Consider the following 20294-nt stretch of genomic DNA (forward strand, 5'->3'; position numbering starts at 1 on the left):
AGATCAAGACCATCTGGCTAACATGGTGAAACCCCGTCTCTACTAAAAATACAAAAAAAAAAATTAGCCAGGCGTGGTAGCATGCACCTGTAGTCTCAGCTACTTGGGAGGCTGAGGCAGGAGAATTGCTTGAACCTGGGAGGCAGAGGTTGCGGTGAGTGAGCCAAGATCGCACCACTGCACTCTAGCCTGGGCGACAGAGGGAGACTCCGTCTCAAAAAAAAAAAAGCAAGAGTTAAATTTTGGGCCGGGCGCGGTGGCTCACGCCTGTAATCCCAGCACTTTGGGAAGCCGAGGCGGGCGAATCACAAGGTCAGGAGTTCGAGACCAGCCTGGCCAACATGGTGAAACCCTGTCTTTACTAAAAATAGAAAACATTAGCTGGGCGTGGTGGCGGGTGCCTGTAATCCCAGCTACTAGGGAGGCTGAGGCAGGAGAATTGCTTGAACCTGGGAGGCAGAGATTGCAGTGAGCTGAGATTGCGCCACTGCACTCTAGCCCAGGCAACAGTGTGAGACTCCGTCTCAAAAAAATAATAATAATAGTAAGAGTTAAATTCGGGCTCTAGGAAGAGGGTTGAGCACCATGCAGTGTCATCTGGACAGAGAAAGGCCAGAAACAGGGAAGTCAGTTTAGGAAAAGGTCTTAAGTCCCTGACCCAGGGCAGTGGGAATGGAAGTGAAGAGGCTTAACATGGAATCTGTAGCTCACTGTCTGTCCTGATCTGTGAGAGCCCTGCCAGCCAGAGCCTCTGTGGAGTCTCATCTGCACGTGGCACTGTGGACATGTCTGCCCCAAGTCAGCAGGCTCACCAGGTCTAGCCCCTGTCCTCGGGGACCTTTCCTTCTCCAGGACAGACTGTGCCCAGAGGCAGGCTGAACATATCCTAGGTTTCTCCTCCTGCCTCCCTGTGCTTTCATGAGGCACTGACACCAGGCAGGCATGTGTCACTCTTAGAACTACCAGGTTTAGCAAATAAAAATAAAGGATGCCAGCTGGGAATAGTGGCGTATACCTGCAATCCCAGCTACTCTGGAGACTGGGGCAGGAGGATTGCCTGAGGCTGAGAGTTTGAGGCTGTGGTATGCCATGATTGAGCCTGTGAACAGCCACTGCACTCCAGCCTGGGCAACATAACAAGACCCTGTCTCTTAAAAACAAAACAGGATGCCAGTTACGTTGGAAACAGATAATTTATGTATTTATGTATTTATTTATTTATTTTTGAGATGGAGTTTTGCTCTTATTGCCCTGGCTGGAGTGCAATGGCACGATCTTGGCTCACTGCAACCTCCGCCTCCTGGGTTCAGGTACTTCTACCTCAGCCTCCTGAGTAGCTGGGACTACAGGCACACGCCACCACGCCCAGCTAATTTTTGTATTCTTTTAGTGGAGACATGGTTTCACCAGGTTGGCCAGGATGGTCTCGATCTGTTGACCTTGTGATCTGCCCGTCTTAGCCTCCCAAAGTGCTGGGATTACAGGCATGAGCCACCGTGCCCAGCCGTTTTTTTATATTTTTAGTAGAGACCGGGTTTCAGCAGTTTGGCCAGTCTGGTCTTGAACTCCAGACCTCAGGTGATCCGCCCGCCCCAGCTTCCCAAAGTGCTAGGATTACAGGCATGAGCCACCGTGCCTGACCAGAAGCAGATAATTTCTTTAGGATAAGTATGTCCCATGCAATATTTGAGACTTAATTAGGCTAAAATATTATTCATTGCTTATATGAGATTCCAGTTTAACTGGATGTTCCTTCCTTAATCTGCCCATTCTAACCATGCCTCACTCTTCTGTGTTCCTGGCTCGGGGCCCAGCTTCCCTCTTTCAGGAAAGTTCCTTCTCTCCCATTTTCTGTTACCTCCTGAGGTAGTTTCTTTGTGGGTCCAAAAAGTCAGGAAGAGGATGTACCTCCCAGGAGAGGGATGGTCCTACCAGTTTGAGGAATGGGTATCCCAGCTCAGTGCCAGGCGTGGTACCTTTGTGTAGCAGGAGGGCACAGCTTTTTGTCTAACCAGACAGTAAAGGAGAAGAACCTTTGCTTCAAATGCCAAAGGGACCAGAAGAGCATCAGGCCATAGGGAGGCTTCCAGATTTCTGCCTGGGGTCTTCAGGATGTACCTGGAGCCCAGAGATGAGGCCCTTGAAATTTGCAGTTTGCCTCCTGTACCTCACCTCATCCTCCTTTTCTCTTTTCCAGTTCCCTTCCTATTCCACGCACATCCACGAAGGTACTGGGAGCTCTTAGAACCAGACATACTCTGTTTCTAAGCTCATACTGTTTCTGTTCCAAAAACACCTTCAAATTCTTCATCCACTAGTACCTCTCCTCCCCTCTTCCCCCTTCCTCCTTCCTGCATCCCAGCCTGGGTCGAGGATCCCTTTTTTGGATTGACTTCTGTTCCCTTCATGCTTCTTTCTGCAGTCTCCAAGCCTCTGGCACCATCCTTCTCGATGACGTTAGATGTCCTATCCCAAGCCATTTGTTGCTTGCATTTTTAGGCTCGAGAGACTAAAGAGAACTATACTAACTGCCTGTCCTTCTGGGGCCAGGGGCAGGGGAGCCCAGTCTAGGAGACCCCCCAACCTAGACACATGTAGCAAACAAAAACCCAGATGTAAGGGGGTAAGTGGGTCTGGGGCCTTCCACTGGGTGGAATGTGGGAGAAGAGATTTGGGAGTGTCTTGGCTGTTACACATGCAGGGCAGAGGAGAGAGACCAGTGAAGGTTGGGAGGAGGCGGCCAAAAGGAGACAGCTTCATGCCCCCAGGACATAAATAGCCCGGCTGCTGCAGGTACTCACATGAGGTGACACGACTGGGGACAGAACAGGCTGGAGCGGCGGGGGCGGGGGCGGGGGCGGGGGGGCGGGTATCTTCAGAACTTCAGTATGAGATTTTCCCCAAGCACAGATCTAGGTAGTGCTAGGAAATGTCTCTGGGCGGAGGCGGGCAGACAGGACGGTAATTACTGAGTCAGTAGTCCCGAGGGATGCCTTGTGACCTGGGCTTTCAGCTTCAGAGCTGAAAAGCCTAAGTGCTTATCTGTAGATTTCTCCTCTCAGCCCACAGCCCCAGCTCATGGTACAGGCAAGGCCTGCAACAACAGGCAGGTGGACCTGGGTAGCAGAGGCCTGTAGAGTTTGGCAGAGGCGCCTCATGCTCTTATTTGCAGCCCTTTGCCTGTGATTAGTGGTTTGGCTTGGGAAACCTTGGAAAGGGCTCAGAGAACCAAGCTGCTGATTAACGCCACAGCTGGTCAACACAGCGGACAGCTGACCGCCGAGGTCCCTGTGGTCTGTGGTTCCTGCCTTTCAGGCTGGTGTGGGACTGGGGTGTTGGTTTGGATCCTAGAGCTGAGGTGTAGCCTTACAGCTCTGGGTCTCTCCTGGTGTTCCAGTGGAACTAGCACCCCAGAGCAGGGCCCTCAGGGGACTTGGCGGCTAACTTCTTGCTGGGAAGCAAGAGACTTCATTCTCTGCTCCCGGCCTGCCCCACGCGGGGCTCTCTCTGCAGGTACCTGAAAGAATTCCGCACAGAGCAGTGCCCACTCTTTGTGCAACACAAATGCACGCAGCATCGGCCCTACACCTGCTTCCACTGGCACTTCGTGAACCAGCGGCGCCGCCGGTCCATCCGCCGTCGGGACGGCACCTTCAATTACAGCCCTGACGTCTACTGCACCAAGTACGACGAGGCTACAGGCCTCTGCCCGGAGGGCGACGAGTGAGTGACCCAGCCTGTCCTCAGAGGAGCCCCGTGTCTCCTTCTGGGTCAGATGCCCTCAGGGTAGGCTGGGCAGATTCTGGGAAGCCATCCAGAGGACTGGTTGCAGCCCAGCCCATGGCCCGAGCCTGGACTCAGACCCCACCATCCCTGGCGGTAGGCTGCGGGGAGGTACCATTTCCCTTTCCCACTTTTAGGAAACCTAAGACAGGCCTTTCTTTCACTAAGCCTAAGGGCCCACATCTGAACCCAGGAGGCTCCCTGGCCTTTTTTCATCCTCCCCTGGGGATCACATCCCATGCAGTTCCCACCAAAGCTGGCTGTTTAGAGAGAGCGCCTCACTGGTGCCCAGGTTTGCTGACCCTAAATATCTTACTGCAAATCTCTGTAGAGAAATAGGGCACAGCACTGACAGACACAGGGAGGTGCCACACCTGGGAGTGTCGCACTAATGACAGACATAGGGAGGTGCCACACCTGGGAGTGTCACACTAATGACAGACATAGGGAGGTGCCACACCTGGGAGTGTCACCGACGGAACATTCACTGACCCTGCTTGTCTCATAGAGCCTTCCCTTCGTCAGCCCTCTTTCTTTTTTAAAATTTTTATAATTTTATTTATTTATTTAGACAGGGTCTCCCTCTTTCCCCCAGGCTGGAGTGCAGTGGCAGCATCCTCGCTGCACCCTCAAACTCTACTCTGTTGCCCAGGCTGGAGTGCAGGGGTGCGATCTTGGCTCACTGCAACCTCCACCTCCTGGGTGCAAGTGATTTTCCTGCCTCAGCCTCCCAAGTAGCTGGGACTGCAGGCGTGCACCACAATACCCAGCTAATTTTGCATTTTTAGTAGAGACAGGGTTTCACCATGCTGACCAGGCTAGTCTCGACCTCCTGACCTCAGGTGATCCGCCCTCCTTGGCCTCCCAAAGTGCTGGAATTACAGGCAGGAGCCACTATGCCCGGCTTCAGTTGATTTCTTTTTTTTTGAGATGGAGTCCGCTCTGTTGCCGAGGCTGGAATGGGCACCTGCTTCCACTGGCACTTCCATGTCGGCTCACTGCAACCTCCACCTCTCGGGTTCAAGCAGTTCTACCTCAGCCTCCCAAGTAGCTGGGATTACAGGCGCAGGCCACCACGCCCTGCTAATTTTTTGTATTTTTAGTAGAGACGGGGTTTTGCCATGTTGTCCAAGCTGGTCTCAAACTCCTGACCTCAGGTGATCCACCCGCCTCGGCCTCCCACAAGTGTTGGGATTTACAGGGGTGAGCCACCACGCCTGGCCATGATTTAAAACATTTTTAATTTGTAGAGATGGGTGAGGGGATGTCTTCATTGTGTTGCCCAGGCTGGTCTCAAATTCCTGGCCTCAAATGATCCTCTTGCCTTGCCTCCCAAAGTGCTGAGATTGCAGATGTGAGCTACTGGCCCAGCCTAGCACCTCTTTCTCACGGAGGCCCAAGGCTTGCTGACCCTACCCCTAGCCTAACGAAGCACTCAGGGGATGAAGGCTATACCTGAGTTTTGAGTAGATCATTTGCTTCTCTGACGGCCCCCAAGCCTGGGCAGCATTTGTTCTCCGATGTCTGTCCTGCCCTGGAATGCCAGGCCCTGTTGGGCCCCATTTAGGCTGCAGGCAGCAGCAGGGCAGTTCTGTTACCTCGCAGCAGGGCTCATCATTGCCTTCTTCCTAGTGCACCTTCCAGGCCATAGTGAAAGCTGTTCAATGGTTGGGGAAAGGCCAGGCGCAGTGGCTCATGCTTGTAATCCTAGCACTTTGGGAGGTTGAGGTGGGCAGATCATGAGGTCAGGAGATCGAGACCATCCTGGCCAACATGGTGAAACCCCGTCTCTACTAAAAATACAAAAATTAGCTGGGCATAGTGGTGTGTGCCTGTAGTCCCAGCTACTCGGGAGGCTGAGGCAGGAGAATCACTTGAACCAGGGAGTCAGAGTTGCAGTGAGCCAAGATCGCGCCGCTGCACTCCAGCCTGGCGACAGAGCAAGACTCCGTCTCAAAAACAAAACAAAACAAACAAACAACAACAACAACAACAAAAACAGTTGGGGTAAGGGCAGGGGGTAGGCAGGGAAGCCTAGGCTGCAGGCAGCAAAGTTGAGTGACCCCCACTACCGTGTTCCAGGTGCCCATTCCTGCACAGAACCACAGGGGACACTGAGCGCAGGTACCACCTTCGTTACTACAAAACTGGAATCTGCATCCACGAGACAGACTCGAAAGGCAACTGCACCAAAAACGGCCTGCACTGCGCTTTTGCCCACGGGCCCCATGACCTCCGCTCCCCTGTCTACGACATCAGGTGGGCTGGGTGCTGGGCTGGGCTGATGGCAGTAGGCTGGGGTCCAGGGCAGGGGCCTGGCGGCTAATGATGGTGAGTACCTCAGACTGCAGTGGAGGGCTGGCACTCTGGTTCTTGCCCCCTCATGCCCCCTCTCCACCCTCTCTGTTCTTTCCTCTCCTCCCAGGGAGCTTCAGGCCATGGAGGCCTTGCAGAATGGCCAGACCACGGTAGAGGGGAGCATAGAGGGCCAGTCGGCTGGGGCTGCGAGCCATGCCATGATAGAAAAGATCCTCAGCGAGGAGCCTCGGTGGCAAGGTACAGGCATCCACACCTCGGCCGCGCCCTCCCTATAATCCTGCTCATAGCTGCCCTGGGGATTTGGCTCACCACCACCTACTGCCTGCTCTAGCCGAGGCCCCGACCTGGCCCGCATCCCACCCTACACCCACCATTCAAAAGGCGCCTCTAGGGGCGTTTTCCCTGACACATCATGTTCCCAAGATCCCTCCAGGCTTTCACATGTGCACAGGCACGTACATAAGCGCACATGCAAATGTTTTCCGCCCTGCAAGAGTGCCCTTTCACCCTGTGAGCTGTGAGTGTCTCTCTGATGGACAGCATCTGTTGTCCTTGCTGCACCTGGGGCTGTCCCATGGCCTGGGAGGAGGGGCCCTACTCACATCTGGCAGGGGCCTCCTGTCTTGAACTCCTTCCCAGTGGCTTCTCCTTCCCTCCACTCCAGTCCTGCTAGTCTTGGGGTGCTCCAGCTCCTCTCACCTGACCCCTGCCCTCTGGCCCCCTGTGCAGAGACTGCTTATGTGCTGGGGAACTATAAGACGGAGCCTTGCAAGAAGCCCCCGCGGCTGTGCCGCCAAGGCTATGCCTGTCCCTACTACCACAACAGCAAGGACCGGCGGCGGAGCCCCCGGAAGCACAAATACAGGTCCTTAGGCCCCAGGAGGCCAGCCACGGGAGGGAGGAGTGGCAGGGAAGGGGTCAGGCAGAGGCTGCTCCCACTGGCTCTCCGGGAGGAGGGGAGGCTGGTCCTGGGGATGACAGGATCGCAAGCCCAGGGCCCAGGGGAGGGCATAGTGAGGATAGCTGGACAGTAGGAGCCCAGCTTCACCTCCTGCATGAATGAGGACCCTGGTCAGACCGTCTCTGAGGCTCCACCGCTCCTGATCCTGAGGGGAATGTGTTGAATGAGGACCAGGCCACAGCGTGGACAGTGTGGTTGTAGCTCCAGCCTGACCCTACTTGGGCTAGTGGGAGGGCCTGGCTGAGGGGAATCAAACAGTATCCTTTGTGGTGATTCGGCCAGGCTGGGTCAGAGAAAGAGCTTGGCTTGTGGCACCAGCAAGGCCCTGACTCTGCAGCTGGTCTTTTCCATTTCTGTGCTCATGCCTATGAGGCTGGGTCCAGGTGGCACCTGCTAGGCTCCGATCTCACCTTCTCCTTTCTCCATCTGACCCCACCCTCTTGTTGGCCAGGTCGTCTCCATGTCCAAACGTCAAGCACGGGGATGAGTGGGGAGACCCTGGCAAGTGTGAGAACGGAGACGCCTGCCAGTACTGCCACACCCGCACCGAGCAGCAGTTCCACCCCGAGGTGGGCCCCACAGCAGGGTGGGGGGGTGGCTTTGGGAAGTAAGGAGAGAGGCAGGCAGGATCAGTGGAGATGTTGGCAGAACCCATCCTGATGCCATCCTGGAAGAGGGACTTGTGGCCACCAGCTCTCCCCTGGCAGTGCCTAGAGGATCCCTGCATGCTGAATTTGGCATCTTCTCCTATTCTGAGCCCACGCTCACCAAGCAGCCCTCTGCTTCCAGTTCTGTGTCCCCCAGGCCTCCTGACAGGGCAGGTGTAGATGGAGTGTGGCGACCTGGCCACTCTGGGCTTTCCACCACTCATGGTGCTTGTAATCCAGTGACATCAGGATTGAAAAAATAGGGCCAGGCACGGTGGCTTATGCCTATAATTCCAGCACTCTGGGAGGCCGAGGTGGGTGCATCACTTGAGGTCAGGAGTTTGAGACTACCCTGCAACATGCTATCTCTACTAAATGTACAAAAATTAGCCAGATTTGGTGGTGAGCGCCTGTAACCCCAGCTACTCGGGAGGCTGAGGTGGGAGGATCGCTTGAACCCGGGAGGCGGAAGTTGCAGTGAGCCAAGATCGCACCACTGCACTCCAGCCTGGGTGACAGAGCGAGACTCCATCAAAAAAAAAAAAAAAAAAAAAAGGATTGAAAAAAAGTAAGCTCCTTCCTGTTGCCCTGTCTCCTATCAGGGCCTAGATTATCAGCAACCTCCCTAACACAGTTCCCTTGCCCTCTGGCCCCAAGAGGTAGCCTGGGCCATATCTGTGTGCCTAGGTCTTGTCTGGGGTTCAGAGAGGCACCTGCAGTCCCTGCCCTTGGTGTTCCATGGAAGCCAGGACACCCTGAGGTAGACACGCGGACAGAAACTACCTTATGTAGCTGCAGACAGCAGAGTGGAAGGTTACTTATATAGGTCACAACCCAGGGTATCCTGACAGGGTTCACATTGGCAGGGGTAGTTGCCTGAGATTGTGGCTCCCTTAATGCCCAGGAGGCACGCTTGGAGGCACAGACCTGGCCATGCCCGTGAGTGGAGAGTCACTGGGGGATCCCTTTGGGAGGGCTGGTGGGACCTGTGGCCCCAGAACGGAGGCTGTCAGTGACAATGGGGAGTGGTGGTGGGCTGCCTCAGGAGTTTGAGTAAGAAGCTGGTAGGGAGAGACATAGTGGAGGGGAGGGGAGGGGCCGGGAACACAGGGCAAGAGATGACTAAGCCAGCGCACTCATGCTGGAGGAAGGGGAGCCTGCCCGGCCTTCCCTCAGGGCCTGAGCCTGACTTGCCTGTGCTCTGCCCTCCAGATCTACAAGTCCACCAAGTGCAACGACATGCAGCAGTCGGGCAGCTGTCCCCGAGGACCCTTCTGCGCCTTTGCCCACGTAGAACGTATGCTGTTCCCATTGCCCCGGGGCAGTGCCCTCTCCCACCCCTCCCTCGCCTGGCTAGCTCAGGCTTAGGCCGGGGATGGCCCCTGGCAGTATGCCCTGCACAGGAGTTCTGGCCTGCCAGCAGCAGGCCTTGTCCCCACTGGAAGCTCCATTCCCCCACCTTTCTGGAAGTAGCCTTGAAGGCCTAGAGCTTCCAAAGTAGTGAGATAGAGACTGCAGGGATTGTCCGCCTGGTTGAGCACTCATGGTTCCAGGGAGGGTTGAGGCACTGTGCCTCCCATGGCTGACTTGGCAAATCCCACCAGCCACCCCATGTCATACCCATGACAGACATCACTAATGGAACATGGAGCTCTTCTCTGCTGAGTCCTGCTCAGGCCTCTAGAGCAGAGCTAGCCAGTCAGAATATAGTGCAATCCCCATATGTCATTTTAAAGTTAAAATATTTAAGCATGTTAACAAAAATAGCAAAATATGAAAATAAGCTGGGCATGGTGGCACACGCCTGTAATCCCAACTACTCGGGAGGCTGAGGCATGAGAATCACTTGAACCCAGGAAGCAGAGGTTGCAGTGAGCCGAGATCATGCCGCCGCACTCCAGCCTGGGCAACAGGGCGAGACTCTGTCTTAAAAAAAAAAAAAAAAAAAAATTAAAAAAGAATTAAACATTGGAAAATATGTTGTTAAATTAATTTTAATAACATATTTGTATTTAGCCCAACATAAAAGGTTATTTCAATAATCAATATACAAAAATATCAAGACATTTCACCTTTTTTTGTACTAAGTCTATGAGATCTGATAGCATTTTAATGCCTACGGGATATTTCCATTCAGACCAGCCTGTTTCAGGGGCTCAGTAGCCACATGTGGCTTTCGGCTGCCTTGTGGGACAGTGTGGGTCTGGATCCTCAGCATGATACTGTAGGCCGCCACCAGTCTCAGAGACAGAGCTCCAGTTTGTACCTGTTAACACCTCTTTCCACCCCAAGATACTGCCCTGGGTCTCCTTAACCTCTTTCCAGGCTCAGGCCCTATCTCTGAGATGAGAATGGAAAATAAATCGAGGGCCCTGGGCGGGAGAAGCATATTCTTGATGCAGAGGTGGTCCCCGGCCATGGGCATTGGGACCGCCTGGCTGAGACGGCATAAGGAAGTGATTCAGGCTTTGGAGTTGTACAGATCAGCGTTCAAGACCCAGCTCCTCTGTGTTTTAGCTCTGTCACTTTGGTGGGTTTACCTTACCTCTCTGAGCCTCAGTTTTCTTATTTATAAAATGGAGACCATATTACTGGTATCTTCTGGTCACCATGAAGATTCACAATTACTGCAAAGTGCTGGCACAGTGCCTGGCACACAGTAAATGCACAGACATGGTGTTACTAGAGATGTCGTAGGAACCTTCCCTTTATGTGCAGGGGGATTTGTGGTCTCCTTTGGAAGGGACCCAGGAGCATTTTTGGAGGGACAGAGCTGGCTGGGGCCTGCTGACCCCTGCCCCTGACTCTTGCAGAGCCACCCCTGAGTGACGACCTGCAGCCTTCCTCAGCTGTGTCCAGCCCCACCCAGCCAGGTCCTGTCCTGTACATGCCATCTGCCGCCGGAGACTCGGTGCCTGTGAGCCCCTCCAGCCCGCATGCCCCTGACCTCAGTGCCGTACGTGTCCATCCTGGGGAGTGGGTGGGCACCATGCCTGACAGAGCCAATACTTGCCTCCTAGGCCCTTTCAGCCTGGGCTTGGGAGACCATCCTGGTATTTGTCCTCAGGCCAGGGGGATCTGTCTTTTCCATCTCAGCATTCTTCGTCAAAAGTCCAGGCCCGGGGGTGGGGTAGGGCAGTCCCCAGAGCCTGTGCTGATGAGCCTGTAGGACTGGTGGCAGGGACAAAGCCTGAGGTCACTCCCCTTTCCTTCGTGAGCTTCGGGCTCCCCGAGTGGTCACTGCTGCTCGTTGGCAGATGAAAGTGGAACTGAGCCCCTTGAAGACTCCCTCTGGAGAGGGTGGAGGATGGGCCACGCACCAGCCTGCGCTGTGCCCACGGGCCCACTCCCTCCCCTCCTTCTCCGCAGCTCCTCTGTAGAAACAGCAGCCTAGGCAGCCCGTCTAACCTCTGCGGCTCCCCACCGGGCTCCATCAGGAAGCCCCCAAACCTGGAGGGCATCGTCTTCCCTGGGGAGTCTGGCCTGGCCCCTGGCAGCTATAAGAAGGCTCCCGGCTTCGAGAGGGAAGACCAGGTGGGAGCCGAGTACCTGAAAAATTTCAAATGCCAGGTAAGGGATGAGGGAGGCAGCAGTGAGGTTAGCCTTCTCCTGCGTGGGGCAAGAGAATCTTGGAGGAGTGTCTTGGTCCAGCTACGGGGAGGATGACTGGGAGCTAGGACTCCACTGTCCTCGGCCTCTTCAGGACTGAACAGAGGGAGCAGTGTCAGCCCATTTGCAGCTGAAGACAGGAAGGCTGGGGAGGCTGCATAGCCTCCCCTGGGCTGCAGAGCTGGTTAGGAGAGGAGCCAGATCCCGCCTGGGTGCGGTCCTTCGGCTGCCCTGAACTGCCTTCATGGAAAGACAGGGCCTGGGGAAGCAGGACACAGGGGTCCCTAACTGGGCCTGGAGAGATACCTTCTGGGCTTACATGAGGCCTAGTGTCACCGGGAGGAGAAGGGCAGCTCCCTGCTTAGGGTAGGGGAAGGGAGTAGGGGGTGGGGAGGAAGAAGGGGGTGTGTGCATGCATGTGAAGAGGGGTTGCATGTCTGCCACCACCTGCCCCCTGGTACCTGCAGCCTCAGGGTCAGATGGACTCAGGGACCCCCCAGCACCACATTCATCCACTCCCTGAATTTTCTCTCTCAGGCCAAATTAAAACCCCACTCATTAGAGCCCAGGAGTCAAGAGCAGCCTCTGCTTCAGCCCAAACAGGTATAGAGCTCTCAGCCCCCTTCCTCCCCTCTGCTGTGGACAGGAGTGGCCCAGAACCCCAGGAGGCTTCGGGGAGTGGGAGGCACCACTTTTCCCAAAAGCTGAGGGCAGGACTAAAGTGGGGTCCCAGCCACAAATCCAGAGAGGGTAGGGGGTCAGGCCCTGGAGCCCCTCACCTCCTAGACTCAGTGGAGAAGGTGTTCCTGGAGCCTCTGCACTCTGCCAGGCCCTGTACTCGCTTCTCTCTTCCCTGCTACAGGACTGTAGGGGCGAATGGGCCTGGCAGCCTCCGCACCTCCAACTCCATGCTCTCAACAAGGTGTCGGGTGTGCCGGGGCCCATGTGGGCATGGGGGCACCCGGACTAGAGCTAGCACGGGCCATTTCCCTTGCCCCCAGCCCCTCTCCAGCCTCTCGTCCTGGCCTCCGTATGCAGGCCTACCATTGCTTCTCCTCTTCCCTCTCTCGTTGCAGGACATGCTGGGCATCCTCCCCGCAGGCAGCCCCCTGACCTCAAGCATCTCTTCTAGTATCACCTCCAGCCTGGCAGCTACCCCCCCTAGCCCAGTGGGCACCAGCAGCGTCCCCGGCATGAATGCAAACGCTCTGCCCTTCTACCCCACCAGCGACACGGTAGAGTCAGTCATAGGTAACTAGGCCATTTCTGTTTGAAAGCCCAGGACTGGGTCTGGGGTCAGAGACCCCCCAGTCTCTGAAGCGAGTCTCAAATCAGCACACCAGACCCCTTAGACATCTGTCTTCGGAAAATCAGGGGATGGGCACTCTGAGTCCTTTGAGCTAAAGGGGAAATGACCCCAAGGTGTAGGGCCAGGACTGACCCTTAGAGCTCCTTTGTGCAAATTAGAAAGAGGTGCCTTTTCCCCTTGGTGAGTACAGTCTCACCCCAAGACGTGTTGTTCAGTCCCCACTCATCTCACTGGTGTCCTTGTGTAGTGAATGGCCAGCACGACGTTCTCAGAATCCCTGGTGCTAGAAGTTGGTGCTCCTTTCTTTCAGTACTCATTTCTAGGTGCCCGCTTTGTGCCAGGTCCTGTGGCAGGCACTGAGGAGACAGATGACAACATGCTGCTCCTGCCCTCTAGAGGGAAACTTCCCACCCAGTGGACATTTGTCAAGCACCTGCTATACACCAGCCACTGAGTGCCCAGAGACCCGCCCACCCCCACTGATCCCGGGGCTGAGACCCTTGAGTTGTAACATCAGGGGACAAGACCCTTGTCCGAGGCAGGGACCCTGGATGGGGATGTGATTTCTCCTGGAAGTATCAAAGAAGATTCAGAAAGGAGAGGCATTTGGGTTGGACATGACTGGCAGACGGTGTCAGAAGTCAGGAGTCAGGATTGGCATAGGAAGCAGCTGAAGGAAGGGCACAGGGGCTTGGGAGAATACGGACCCAGCGTAGCATGGGCGTGAAGATGCAGCGTGGGCAGTAGACGAGGTGGTCAGGGTCAGATAGTCCCTCGGGAGGTCACATCCCACTCTTCTCTGTCCCTAGAGTCTGCTTTGGATGACCTGGACCTGAATGAGTTTGGCGTGGCCGCCCTGGAGAAGACTTTCGATAACAGCACAGTGCCCCACCCAGGAAGCATCACCATCGGTACTGGGTGTGGGTGGGCAGGGCAGCCTGGAGGACTCCTCGGGTTCCTGCCTGGCTCAGGCCCCTTGCTCTGTGTGGCCCGCCTGGCTTCCGCTGCCCTCACCCAGCCCGTCCTCCCCGGGCCTCTCTTGCAGGCGGCAGCTTGCTGCAGAGCTCTGCACCCGTGAACATCCCCGGCTCCTTGGGCAGCTCTGCCTCCTTCCACTCAGCATCCCCGTCCCCTCCCGTCAGCCTCTCCTCGCATTTCCTGCAGCAGCCCCAGGGCCACCTGAGTCAGTCGGAAAACACATTTTTGGGAACCTCAGCATCACATGGATCTTTGGGTAAGAGAGGGAGTGGTTCACTCAGGAGAACTGGGGCAGGAACCTGCGCCTTTAGGAGGTGCCTCTGGCCACCCCATCTACGGCATATCAGCTAGGCTGGGGGTTAGGGCAGAGGCCTTGGGCGAGGAGGCAGAGTCAGATTCCTGTCTGTGTGACCCTGGACAAGTGATTGAGCCTCTCTGCCTTAGTTTCCTCTGCTGTGAAATGGGTATAACGGCAGCATCCACCTCCTAACGTTGTGAGCATTGAATGGAGTAATGGGGCTGAAGTGCTAGGCACGAGGCCAGTGCAGGTGAGAGCAGGGGTCTCAGTTGCCAGGGCTGGGCCTGGTCTCTTTCACAGCATGGTTCTGTTCTGCCCAGTCACCCCAGGCTCCGAGAGGCTGGCTCGCACCAGCCAGGTTCACAGGGGACCAAGGGAGAAGCCAGACAGGTTAACCCCTGGCTTCGGGTGCCCTTCCTGCCGGGCAGAGGCTCCAGGGAGGCCCAGGGCTGGCCCAGAAGGCTGTTTGCCCACAGAATTAGAATGGTATGGAATGGGGGTTTCTGAGGGCACTTCAAGGTTTAGTGGCTAGAAGAATGGCACAGAGGCCTGTGCCACTGCGGGCCGGCTGTGCATCTCCTCTTGTGTGTGTCAGGGGATGTTCCTGAGGGCGGGATGGGAAGCACATGGCACCACCGCTCTCACTCTCCCCCAGCAGCTGCAGACACCAGGAGCTCCCTCCCCGAGAGTGCCAGCATTTTGCTCGGGCCCAGGGAATGAGCCCTTCAGAGTTCTGATTGGGTTTGGTGGCTTCCCTTATCTCATTCCTGATCCCAGAACAGCACATGGATTTCTCAGCGCCTTCCAGTTTGAAGAGGCTGTTCTCTGTTACGTTGATTCTGTCAGCTTTAGGTGCTTGGTGTTGCATTTTTCGGACTTGCCCCATATTCGGATAGGATCTGTTTTTTTTTTTTCGAGTAGGGTCTCAGTCTGTCACCCAGGCTGGAGTGCAGTGCAGTGGCATGATCCTAGCTCACTGCAGCCTGGAACTCCTGAGCTCAGGTAATCCTTCCACATCAGCCTCCTGAGTAGCTGGGACCACAGGCGTGCACCACCATGCCCAGCTTCTGGTGGCGTCTAGACTTAGCTCCACTTACTGGCCACACACTCCTTCCTGCACCATGTGACTATTGAGCACAGGTGTATTGATACAGGTGTAAGTGCAACAGTCCCTGCTGTCCAGCAGCTGTGGCCAGTGTGGGAAGCAGAGGTGCCCAGCCATTGGGATCCTCCTGAGAATCATAGAGGGGCCTACCTGGACAGCAGAGTCAGGAGAGCTTCTCCAAGGGAGGAGGAGAGATGGGTGGGACAGGAGAGCTTGCTGCAGGGCTGGTCTCATGTGGGTGGGGTGACCCTGAGGTCTTCCTCTGGGATGGGGCAGATGGCTCAGACAGTGCATGCCACAGGGTCTCCGCACAGGACCATGTCCCTCCTCTGTGGGTGCACTTGTGTGTCTCAGAGAGCAAAGCGTCTTAAATCTGGTTCTGGAACATCCTGGTTGGATTAGTGGGAAAGGGAGCAAGGAAGAAGTCACCAGAAAGTACATATGGGCAGAGTGAGGCCAGAGGTGGATATGGGTCCTTCTCGGAAGCCCGGGGCTGCCCTGGGGGCCAGAGCAGGGGGACCTGATGTTAGTAAACATCTGTTGAGCGAGTGAGCAGAGGGCAGCTGGGTTGGCGGTGGGTGGGAGGCTGTGCACGCAGCATAGTTGACTGGAAAGCATAGGCCTTTGGAACCACACTCCCTGTCTGTGTCCTGGCCCTACCACTTACAATTTGTGTGATTCTTGGTAAAACATTTTATCCAGGGTCCTTGTCTGTAAAACAAGGGGGATGGCCCCAAGGCTCCCTGAGCTCTTCCTGCCCCAGCTCTGCCATCCGATGAGGCTCTGGCCTGTCTTTTCCCCTTTATCTCTTCCTGGGCCTCACATCAGGCTGCAAAAAGGCCCTAGCCTAAAAGTGAAGCCACAATCATAAATTGCCACTATCGGGGGCCTGGGACTGCTCTCACATGCAGTACTTCCTGAGTCCCCTGAGTTACCCGGTGAGGCCAGTGTGGGAGTCCCATTTCCCACATGAGGGTGCTGAGCCTCGGAAGTTGAGTGGCACCAACTAGCAGGTGTCACTCAAGGTTAGGTCTGACTCCGCCCACGCCACCTGCACCTTCACAGCCTTCCTGTCCCTGCAAAATTCTCTGGCCTGACACTAGCTGGAGCCTTGCACACCCATCCAGTGGACAGCCAGTCCCTGGAACCTCTGAGGCAGGGCTGGCCAGGGCCTGGGCCCAAAGCCCTCCGGAGCTGATGTTCTTCCCCTCCTTGGGGCAGGTCTGAACGGGATGAACAGCAGCATCTGGGAGCATTTTGCCTCTGGAAGCTTCTCCCCGGGCACTTCCCCCGCTTTCCTATCAGGGCCAGGGGCTGCCGAGCTGGCCCGACTTCGGCAAGAGCTGGATGAAGCCAACAGCACCATCAAGCAGTGGGAGGAGTCCTGGAAGCAGGCCAAGCAGGTACCAGGCCCCGTGCCTGCCGGCCTTCCCCAGTGCCAGGTGGCATCCAGCCCAAGACCTTCCTTCACAGAGTGGGCGTGGGGTGGGGGAAAGCGGGGGCTGGAAGAACAGAGCAGAAACTCAGTTTTGTTCGCTCGCTCTCCCCCTGGGAGGACTCGCTTTGCCAGTCAGGACCCTGGGTGGTTACTGTTGTTGCAGGCTTCAAATTCTCTCTGTGAGCTGCTTGTAGTCTGTCCCAGGATCACCTGCCTCCTCCCAGTAGCCTCGCCTCTCCAGGGTTTCAAGTCCAAGGTTCTGGGTTCTGAAATGGGCCCCCTGTCCAGCTGCAGCCGGCTACCCTATGGGTGCTGGCCAGAATCCCAGCTCTACCCTGTGTCCCTGCTGTGCTAGGCCCAGGTCCCTTTCCCTGGCCACAGAGGGGAGAGTCTCCTGCAGGTTCTGAAACCTCTGTGCAGACAGCATCAGCCTCCTCCTTGCCCTCCTCCCAGAGAGCCAACCCAGCTTCCCACCAGGCCTCGCAGCCAGAGTGGCCCCCAAAAGATGATGCTCTCTGGGGACAGGGGCAGGGCAGGGCCATTGTGATGAGACTGTATGCTGGCCCCACAGGCTTGTGATGCCTGGAAGAAAGAGGCGGAGGAGGCTGGTGAGCGGGCCAGTGCGGCGGGCGCCGAGTGCGAGCTGGCCCGGGAGCAGCGGGATGCACTGGAGGTGCAGGTGAAGAAGCTCCAGGAGGAGCTGGAGCGGCTACACGCGGGGCCTGAGCCCCAGGCCCTGCCCGCCTTCTCCGACCTGGAGGCGCTCTCACTCTCCACCCTCTACTCCCTCCAGAAACAACTGCGGGCCCACCTGGAACAAGTGGACAAGGTCAGCCCAGGTCGGGGAGCACTGGGTGGGATGCACGGTGGCCTCAGCCAGCTCTTGGACTCTGACCTGGTCCAGGCTGCTCCAGGGATGGCCACCCTCCTGAGAGCCTCTGCCCAGCACTGGGCCAGCACTCAAAAGGCCGGCCTGCTGGGAATGGGTGAGGAGAGTGCACTGGGGAAGGTGAAAAGGCTGGGGGTGAGGGGTGTCGGTGCCACCCCCAGCACCCCTGAGGGCGGCCCTGACCAAGCTTCTCACAAATGCCTGGGCCCCAAATGCGTCCTCCTGTACACCCTCCATGGAGCAGCGGGCCTTCCAGTGAGGCCCAGGACCCCAGGGCTACCCCTGCCTTCCCAGGTCTCCTGCTGGGTCCCCGGGGCCAACGTGGCATGGTGGGAAGAGCTGTCTTTCCTCTGTTCTCGGGCAGCCAAGCCCCCGGGTGTGGCCCTGGGCATGTCCCAGCCCTTTCTGGGCCTCATTTTCCCCATCTGGGGATTACAAGGTCAAATGAGACTGGGCGAAGCCTCTCTGAGGGGTGGGTCTTGTGGCAGCCTGGCCATGCCCCATGCAGAGGTGGACTCAGCCTGCTCTCTCACCTGCCAACAGGGGTCTGGGAGCACACTGTTGAGCTCGGTACCTCAGTTTTCCCATCCCAAGGGGCTGCAGTGAGGATCAAGGGAACTCCTCGCTCAACTTGGGGCCAGACCCATGGATGGTGACCACGATGCCCCTTTCCCTGCAGGCCGTGTTCCACATGCAGTCGGTGAAATGCCTTAAGTGTCAGGAACAGAAGCGGGCAGTGCTGCCGTGCCAACACGCTGCGCTGTGTGAGCTCTGCGCTGAGGGCAGCGAGTGCCCCATCTGCCAGCCTGGCCGGGCCCACACCCTCCAGTCGTGACCCTGCAGGCCTGGCCCAGCCTGGCCCAGATCTTCTCACCTAGGACTTTTTAAAGTATATATATATATATGAATATATATATATATGTGTATGTATGTATGTATATGTATATGATTATGTATATGTATACATTTCCGTATGTATGTATATGTATACATTTCCGTATGTGTGCAGGTATGCGTGGTGGTGTGGACAGTGTCTGTGTGTATATCTGTACATAGATATAGACACACACTTTAAAAGACTTACCAAGCACTTTTTAAAAGAAGAAACTATTTTGCAGTCCTCCCCTACCCACTCCCTGCCCTTCCCACTGCAGAGATGACATCCCCTCTTCTCCCACTGGCCTTTTGGCAGAGAATCTGGTTCTGTCTCTTTTTTAATGTAGGAACTAACTATTTTTAACTTCTTCCTGGGGCCTGAGCAGGGAAGGGTGGGACTGGAAGGCACTAAGGGGAAGGGAGAAGCCCTCAGGGCAGGCCCTGCTCCCCCTACCTCCTTGCCAGGGCAAGGGTGGAGTGTGGAAGACGTGGGTCCCCCAGAGCAGGCCTGGCCCCCAGCTGTGAGGGCCTCAGGGAGGCCCGAGGGGGAGTGCTGGGGGTCTCAGCTGGCTTAGCTCCTAAGTTTACCAAATGTTAATTTAGTCTTGGGGAGAACAGCAAGGGCTGGAGGCCAGTGCTGCAGGGCCAGCCCCACTCCTGACACCTGGGCCCTTGAAGCTCCTTGAGGGGCAAGGCCCAGGAGTTCCAGCCCTCAGGTTCCTGAGGGTCCACCCTCAGTCCTTCCCCCCGCCGCCCCTCCCCGGACTCCCCACAAGAGCCTCCCTGGCCCCAGGGCCGCCTACCAGGCTGGTACTCATTCTATGACCACCGCCCCCAACCAGCTGCCCCCAGCTCTCCCTGCCCCCTCCCCTCTCTGGCAGCTAGCAGGGCAATTGGCGGGGAGGAGTGCGGACTGAGGACTGAGGACCAAGGGGGCCCAGGCCCTGCCCTCCTACCCGGAGGGGCTCCGTTTGCATTCCTTGGTGCTCTCTGAGTGCAGCTGGTGTCCCGCCCTGTTCTGGGCGGACGCCTGTGTGCGTGTGTGTGTGCCTGTCCAGTGTATATTGTGTCTTAGCTTCCATTTTAAAAATTGTTCTGTACAGAGAGAGATGCAGCAGGGGCGGGAGGGCAGAGTGGGCGGAGGGGAGCAGCCGCACCCCCAGCACCGGGTGTCTGCGGTAGGAACAAGAGGGCTGAGAGGGTCTGGTCCTGGCCCAGGCTCCCCCTTGGGCTCAGCACGAAAGGGCTTTCAATGAATTAAGTGAAAACTTTTTCCTTTTTTACAAAAATGCAAAAATCAACAAAGCTCCAAACCTATTGGAAATAAAATATGAACTTGCAGTGGTAGCTTGTTTACATGGGGGTGAGGGGGAGTGGGTCCCAAAAGAGGGCCTCTGAACTATGAGGTGGGCCAGGAGCCTTGCCTCAGCCATGGAAACGGCTGCTGCCCACACCCCTGAGCTGTGGTAAGGCAGCTGGAGAGGGCTGGAAACTTCCTGGGCCCATCAGGCCCCAAGACAGTTCAAGTGCTCTCCGACCTAGGCCTAGCGGTTGATGACACAGGGACCCTTAGCCTTGGACACAGAGGCCCCCCAGGCCCTAGGACTCTTTAGGGCTGTGTGGTCAGCGGTGACTGGCAATAGGGCCCGTAACTGTTTCTCAGAGGAACAGTGTCTTCCCAACTGGGCATGGTGGCGCATGCCTGTGGTCCCAGCTACTAGGGAGGCTGAGGTGGGAGGATCACTTGAGCCCAGGAGGTCGAGGCGGCAGTGAGCCATGATTGCACAGCTGCCTCCAGCTTGGGTGACAGAGTGAGATCCCATCTCAAAAACAAAAACAGGCCGAGGCGGGCAGATCACTTGAGGTCAGGAGTTCGAGACCAGCCTGGCCAAAATGGTGAAACCCCGTCTCTACTAAAAAAAAAAAAAATACAAAAATTAGCCAGGTGTGGTGGCACATGCCTGTAGTTCCAGCTACTCAGGAGGCTGAGGCAGGAGGATCCTTTGAACCCGGGACGCAGAGGTTGCAGTGAGCTGAGATTGCCCCATTGCACTCCAGCTGGGCGACAGAGTGAGACTCCAT

At 56.4% G+C, this 20294-nt stretch overlaps 1 protein-coding gene across 11 annotated transcripts in view, besides 4 other annotated features; it reads left to right on the plus strand.

The window, feature by feature from the left end:
* Positions 1-19553, plus strand: part of UNK (unk zinc finger) — a 40994-nt gene extending 21441 nt beyond the window's left edge. For 6 of the 11 annotated variants that reach the window (XM_047436965.1, NM_001080419.3, XM_047436962.1 and 3 more), the window contains 15 exons: positions 3514-3723; positions 5866-6042; positions 6209-6339; positions 6832-6967; positions 7515-7632; positions 8923-9007; positions 10524-10666; positions 11080-11280; positions 11857-11922; positions 12396-12570; positions 13438-13539; positions 13674-13862; positions 16231-16412; positions 17019-17276; positions 18016-19553. In XM_047436965.1, the coding sequence (XP_047292921.1) occupies positions 3514-3723; positions 5866-6042; positions 6209-6339; positions 6832-6967; positions 7515-7632; positions 8923-9007; positions 10524-10666; positions 11080-11280; positions 11857-11922; positions 12396-12570; positions 13438-13539; positions 13674-13862; positions 16231-16412; positions 17019-17276; positions 18016-18171 (2329 nt within the window). In that variant the 3' untranslated portion in view covers positions 18172-19553. Of the gene's footprint in view, positions 1-2701; positions 2794-3513; positions 3724-5865; positions 6115-6208; positions 6340-6831; positions 6968-7514; positions 7633-8583; positions 8650-8922; positions 9008-10523; positions 10667-11079; positions 11281-11856; positions 11923-12395; positions 12571-13437; positions 13540-13673; positions 13863-16230; positions 16413-17018; positions 17277-18015 lie in introns of those variants that run through there. The other 5 variants (XM_047436964.1, XM_047436963.1, XM_011525400.2 and 2 more) reach the window with 4 other exon arrangements.
* Positions 8370-8871: an enhancer, noted in NCBI's record as "H3K4me1 hESC enhancer chr17:73810697-73811198 (GRCh37/hg19 assembly coordinates)". NCBI's record gives its function as "activates a minimal SCP1, AML or CMV promoter by ChIP-STARR-seq in primed H9 embryonic stem cells {active_cell/tissue: H9 hESC(primed)}" and the evidence as "EXISTENCE:reporter gene assay evidence [ECO:0000049][PMID:30033119]".
* Positions 8872-9371: an enhancer, noted in NCBI's record as "H3K4me1 hESC enhancer chr17:73811199-73811698 (GRCh37/hg19 assembly coordinates)". NCBI's record gives its function as "activates a minimal SCP1, AML or CMV promoter by ChIP-STARR-seq in primed H9 embryonic stem cells {active_cell/tissue: H9 hESC(primed)}" and the evidence as "EXISTENCE:reporter gene assay evidence [ECO:0000049][PMID:30033119]".
* Positions 10156-10657: an enhancer, noted in NCBI's record as "H3K4me1 hESC enhancer chr17:73812483-73812984 (GRCh37/hg19 assembly coordinates)". NCBI's record gives its function as "activates a minimal SCP1, AML or CMV promoter by ChIP-STARR-seq in naive H9 embryonic stem cells {active_cell/tissue: H9 hESC(naive)}" and the evidence as "EXISTENCE:reporter gene assay evidence [ECO:0000049][PMID:30033119]".
* Positions 10658-11157: an enhancer, noted in NCBI's record as "H3K4me1 hESC enhancer chr17:73812985-73813484 (GRCh37/hg19 assembly coordinates)". NCBI's record gives its function as "activates a minimal SCP1, AML or CMV promoter by ChIP-STARR-seq in naive H9 embryonic stem cells {active_cell/tissue: H9 hESC(naive)}" and the evidence as "EXISTENCE:reporter gene assay evidence [ECO:0000049][PMID:30033119]".

Source organism: Homo sapiens, chromosome 17 (genome assembly GCF_000001405.40).
Source record: "Homo sapiens chromosome 17, GRCh38.p14 Primary Assembly".
NCBI classification, from domain to species: domain Eukaryota; kingdom Metazoa; phylum Chordata; class Mammalia; order Primates; family Hominidae; genus Homo; species Homo sapiens.